Source organism: Homo sapiens, chromosome 19 (assembly GCF_000001405.40).
Source record: "Homo sapiens chromosome 19, GRCh38.p14 Primary Assembly".
NCBI lineage: Eukaryota > Metazoa > Chordata > Mammalia > Primates > Hominidae > Homo > Homo sapiens.
The window spans coordinates 28,594,655-28,601,076 of NC_000019.10; the positions used below are offsets into that span (position 1 = coordinate 28,594,655).

General features: G+C 48.6%; 1 pseudogene across 1 annotated transcript in view; it reads right to left on the bottom strand.

The window, feature by feature from the left end:
• The window catches only part of LOC100420587 (SHC binding and spindle associated 1 pseudogene), a 292,307-nt pseudogene that overhangs the window by 159,267 nt on the left and 126,618 nt on the right, over window positions 1–6,422 (bottom strand). The gene's annotated exons all lie outside the window — the stretch shown is intronic.

The window sequence follows — 6,422 nt, forward strand, 5'->3', positions numbered from 1 at the left end:
CAGAGGCTCACACTTGATGGCAAGTCTCTGTGGCTTCTGGGGCTACGATGAGAAATGACTTCTGTCCTCCAGGAGCCTGCATGACCTGCCTCTGCCTCTCTCCATGCTTGAGGCTGCCCCAGCCTCCCCACTCATAACTCTGCAGACTCACTGCCTTTCTTCCATTTCTTTCACCAGGCCAGGACTTTGCTCTCCTGGGGGACTTTGCAGTTGCTCTTCCTTCTGCCTGGAACATAGTCCCTAAGATTTTTAAATTGCTGGCTCATTATGGTCATTCAGTACTCAGCAAAAATGTCACTTCCTCAGAAAGGTCTTCCTTGACTACCCTGTCTAAAGTGGGGCTGTCACTCCTGCCCCCACACTCTAACACATCACTCTGTTTTACCTTCCAATTAGCACTTGCTACTGTGAGTTCATCCTGCTTATATGTGTGCTTATATTATCGGCCTCTAACACAGCTCATGCTCCCGAAGAGCAGGGACTTGTCTCTTATTTACTACTGTTGCCCCCAGCACCAAGAGAGCACATTATAGGTGCTACATCAATGTGTGTTGGGTAGATGAGTGAGTAAATGAGTGGATAGAAGGAAAGAGGGAGGAAGAAAGGAAGGAAAAAAGAAAGGAAGGGAGGGAGGGAGGAAGGGAGAATAGAAATAAGATTGATTCCTCTCCAGAACTGCCCAGATCTTACAGCTTGGGGCTGGGTTGGTCACCACTTGAGCCAGAAATGTTTTCCCATAAAATACGTATCAATGAGAAATGTATTAAGCTGCAAAAGTCAACTACAATAGCTAAAATATATGAGATTCTTTTTCTTTTTTTTTCTTTTTGAGACAGAGTTTTGCTCTTTTTGCCCAGGCTGGAGTGCAATGGTGTGATCTCAGCTCCCTGCAACCTCTGCCTCCCAGATTCAAGCAATTCTCCTGCCTCAGCCTCCCGAGTCGCTGGGATTACAGCTGCCTGCCACCACATCCGGCTAATTTTGTATTTTTAGTAGAGATGGGTTTCACCATGTTGGCCAGGCTGGTCTCGACTCCTGACCTCAGATGATCCATCCACCGCAGCCTCCCAAAGTGCTGGGATTACAGGCTTGGGTCACCGTGCCCAGCCTATTTTTCTTACATAATAAGTGTCATGTTAGGCAGTTGCTAGCATCAGTTTAGCTGTTTAATGGTGTCATCAGAGACCCAAGCTCCTTTCCACTTCATTATCTTTAGTGTGGTGGCTCTCCCAGATGTGTCTTGCCTCATGGTCACAGGATGGCTGCTGCAGCTCAAACATCACATTTACACACAAGCAGAAAGAAGAGGAAGAGGTGATGACAGCTTTACCTATCTAATTCCTTTCAGGAAAGCAAAAGCTTTTGCTGAAACCTTCCACCAACCACATTATATCACATTAGAACCAGATCCCATGACATAGCTACAAGGAATTCTGGGAAACTGACTATATATCCCTTTCAGCCCCGATAGCAGAGAAGCAGGTGAGAAACAGGGGGTTGGAAACAGGTGTTCTGTTGAACCAAATTCTAGTTTGTCACTGAGCATATCCCCAGCAGCCATGACAACTGAAAGAGGGAGGACAGGAAACATCCAGTACTGACCAAGGAGGGTTAACAAGGCCACCAGAGAGAAATGTTTCTCACACCGATTCCAGCCACATCGACAACTTACAATGCAGTGAGAGTGTGCTGAACACAATGATTTGGGAAAACACACCCCAGGAGTACTGAAACCAAGTTGTTCTTATTTCAGTAATCTGTGGGCTTCATAATTAAATGAGATGAAATAATAATGGTGGGAAAATGTGTCAGTTTTTTTTTTTTTTTTTTTTAGAAAGGCTAAATAACTCACTACATTTAGTTAGGAAGTTGTTACAAGCTGTTAATTATTTTCAGACTAGGTAAAAGAAACAAACCTGGGAGATGTGTCTGGTGTGTTAACACATATTATTTACCCCGAGGTGACATTTTAATAGCAGGGAAAACACGGGCGGTCTCCCAGCCCTGTGCACATTTTGCCACAAGCCGCTGTGAGCGCATAAATCCTAGCTCTGTCAACAGTAATGAGGCCCAGAGAGCAGGCACCTGCTGGGGCCCTGAAATTTTTTCTGAGGAAAATGTACATAATTAAGGAATTGTGAGCACTCACCTCTGATTTATTATTAAAACAACACACCTAGGGCCACATTTGCTCCCTGACTCGTCGGTGCTAAACAGACAAGTGATTAAACATCAGCCTCACAGGGGGTCCCCCACACTCTCCCTGCAAGCTTTCCACATCCGGGCCCCTGTTCCCAGAGAAGGAAAAGAAGGTGCGTAGCAGCACGGCAGTGAGGGTGGGAAGTGCGTGCTGGGAGGCCTCTGCTGGCCCAGCTCTCAGAAGAGCAGGGCTCACGGTTAACAACACTGACTGAGATGGGCCACACTGGATTCAGAGTCCATCTCTACCATCTAATTCCTGTGTGCTGTTCTACTTCCGAATCTCAGTTTCCTCACTGGTAAAATAGAGTGGACAATGGCTCCTGCTTTATAAGGTTGCAGTAAGGATTAGATATAGCCCTGGGCAGAGTTTCCAGCAAACAGTCATTGCTCCTGGTCACAGGATGGCTGCCAAAACAGCTAACATATCCACATTCAAGGCAGGAAGGGCGAGAAGTGGGTGACACTAGCCGTATCTGTGCTATTAAATCTACCCAACCCCTTGCCAACAGCAGTAGGAACTGCTATGAGCTTTTCTGTGCTCCCTAAGGCCTAGGCAGTTTCTTCATGGTTTCTTCTATATCCTCCACCTATGAAGATTCTGTTCCTAAACCCACTGTCTCCTGCAGGAAGCCATCCCTGACCAAATGGGAGCTCGGTACTATGTCAACCTCAGTGAGAGCTACCACAGTGTATCTTCAAATCACAGTCTCTGTGGACACATAGTGGGAGGAGATGGCAAGCACCCACCAGGGGGGCCTTTCCCCAGTACTTTGTTATGATGCCTAATAGATGCCATGAAAAGACACCAGAGCGCCAGTGTAAAAGCAAGCCCACGTGCCAGGTGGAGGAGGTCATCATGGACTGCTCTATCGCCAGAGCCAGCTCCCCACGAAGGAAGGAGGGTGCCCCACCCTGCCCGACACTGAAGCCAGGCTGCTCCTCACAGTGTGTGGCTGGCAAGTGGGAGCTGGGGAGATTGGCAATGCATCAGAAAGAGTCTAGACGAGGGCACTGCTTCTGACAGAAATCGCTCCCAGGATGCTCTAGACAAGGGCACTGCTTCTGATGGGAATGGTTCCCTGGATGTTCACCTGGGTAAGGGCTCACAAAGGCTTCTCCATCTCTACCTGGGGCTCAGGGTTGGTGTGAGACAGAGAAAAACGCATGAGGCCTGATCCTCAGGGTATTGCTCCGTGGTAGCTGCGTGGCTCATCTCACACTGGGTAGCCCAGGAGGTGAGTGCTCTCTGAGCTGGCAGGACACAAAGGTGGCCCTTCAAAGGCTGGGAAGTGAGGGAGGGCTGCTAGGGACAGGAGGGACTGGAGGGACAGTGATTCCAAAAGGCAGGAGGAGGGCTAGGGAACGGAGGTAAACATGGGCAGGCTGGGTCCATAACACTGGATTTCCTCAACTCTAAGACATCAATTTGGGGATGATCTTTCAAAACTCATGCAAACTCTCCCTTAAATGACACAAGGGTAAAGTGCATCTTAATTCCAGAATCTCCTGATGTGGGGGTGGAGTCGAGAGTGGCCACACCTGCATCAGGCACTTCTTGTCCCCATCTCTGGTGCACGTGTGCCCTCATCTCATCTTCACAGCCACCCTATGAGGGACACCATTGCCAGTTCTATTTTACACGAGGAAGCTGGAAATTGGGGCTTGGTGATTTGGTCAAGGCCTTCTGTAGCCCTCGCTAGCTGGAGTTCCTGCAAGGCTCATGGGAGGCAGGGGCTGTGGATGGGGCAGGTCCAGTTGAGGGAAGAAGAAAGGTAGTTGCCCAGGCCCTGGCCATCATCATCACCCACCTGTCTCCTCCTCCACTCAGCAATCAGGGCAACCTGCCTTCCCTTTGCACTTGAAGTGAAATCCAAGCACCTTGCACAACTGAAAAGTTCTTATCCCACACGGCCTGGGCCGCTCCCCACCATGTCCTTTCTCTCTTGAAAAGAAAGGACTCAGCCTCTAGTCATTCAGCCCATGGCCTGCTGACCTTCCAATTACAGTAACATTAGTCTCCTCTATTTCCTTCTTAGCTCTCTGAAATTGCCTGTTTCATTTTTGTTTGCTTGTTGGCTCCCTCTGGCCACACACACACTGGAATGTGAGCCCCACCACAGCAGGGGCTTTTGTCTTTTTCTCACTGTTGTACACCTTGTGTTCTCCAAATGCAAAAGTCCACCCCACCCCCAGGGGGTAGCATGCCTTAACTTTGAAAACGTCACCCAAACCAGGGGGCCCAGTGGGACCTAAGTCAGAAGCAAACAGAGCTGAGCAGTGTCCCAGAGGCTCGTCCTGGCCTGTGCAGATGACCCATCTCTAAGCCCTTCTTCCCTGAGAATGAGACGCTTCCTAAGTGCTCCTTTCCTCCCTCTGCTCTGCAACTTCAGACCCAGTTCTTCTCTGTCTTGTCCTGTTAGGAGTGGAGCTCAGGTGCCTCTCCATGTCCATTTGTCTTACCACATCAGAGGCAGCCTCTTCATCAGCGATGGCATCCCAAGGCCGCTCAGCATTCCCAGAGTGATAGAAACTACTAGAAAAGTAGTTCCAGAACCTTCTTTCAGTGGAAAGCCATTGGAAGCTTGTGACCCTTTCAGGACATCAGTTAACATGTGCTTAGAGAGGCCTGGCCTGGCTCACCTTGGGGTTTATGAGAGAAGATGTAGTCCTGCCTTTGGAGAAGTCGGTCTCCTTAGAAAACCAAGACTGGTGCTTGCACAGCTACTAAAGATGCATTCAGAATTATGTTGCCTTTAAGGCTAAATTGTGAAATAAAAACAGCAGGTGGCTGAAGAGTTCACAAGCCACGGCGGGCTGGAATTGCCAGGAAGGGCTTCTCGGAGGAGGTGGGAGAGCACACAGCCTCAGCCCTCACAGACTTACAAGGATGAATTCTCTGGGAGAGGAAGGTGCTTCTGAGAGCATAATTGAAGTCTTGATGATGTTGAGGTTTTTCCAACTCGCCCATAGGTTTTTTGTTGTTGTTGTTTTATTTTCTAATACATTTTACAACTGCTACACATGTCGAAGTCAGAGATGAAAACTTACATTTCCCAATTAATGCCACTAAAACGTCATTCTGACAGTTCCATCAGGCATCTACAGTTTCAAGCCCCTCCCAGCTTCGGGGAGCTGGGAGAGAAGGGCAGGAGCATAGCCCACTCCCATGCCTTAACTGGCCCCAAGGATGGGTGGGGTTTGCAAACCATAATCAGAAGTGGAGAGACAGGAGTGCTTCCCGGGAGAAGGAACTCAATGGGTAAGGAAGGTTCCACAGATGGAAATGCATAAGGAATTCACGGGAATCTTACTGAACATACATGGAAGCAGCAATTCCTATTCACCAAGAGCCCTGTTGCAGGTGCTGGGGGAGAAGCCCCCACTGCTGCAGCTGTGTCACCGCACAGCGTTTTTCTCTAATTCCTCTGCAAATGCAGAGGCTCCGTCCTAAGATTACTACTCACTGTGATTACAGACAAAAACTCTAATGTGCATTCGACACTTGAAACCCTTTATTTCATCAGATCTTCAAAACAGCCCCATAAGGAGCAGAATCTATAAGCTGAAGAGACTGAGGCTCAGAGAAATTGGGTGGTTTGCCCTGGGTCACACAGCCAGCAAAAGCACTGGACTCTGCCTGGCATTCTTCTCTTCCAGCCCCCTCACTACGCTCCCCGCAGAGGCCTCATCCCGCTATTCTACCTGCAGTCCTCACCAGTGTACACACTGAATCCAAGTATCAGACTGAGGAAGTAATCTTTTTTTATGCAGTGTTTCCCCATTACAAAGTGATATTGCCTTGTCTTTTCATATTCCATTTTCCCTCAAAGCTCTATCATTAAGGAATATGTTCTGACTTATCCAGTAAAGTGTTTAACCTTTTTTAATGTTTTATTGATTCTTAAAGCTTCGGTTCCCCCAGAAGATCCTGATTGCTACATTAACAATGTCATTGATATTCTTTTAACAGGCCCTCTGCAACATAAAATGCAGCATGGGAAAGATGAGCCCCAACGACCTGTTAATCAATGAGCTAGTCTTGCATCCACCTGCTGCACGTAGCAGGAGAATGGGTGGTGAGAAGATCGACTCTCAGGTTCCGGCAGGGGCTGTGACATCCAAGGCCAGACAGCTGGGCTGCCCGAGTGTGGAGCAAATGCCCCCTTTGGAGGCAGTTGGTGGAAGAGGAAAGCATTTTTCTCCAGGCTGCTCCCTCCAAC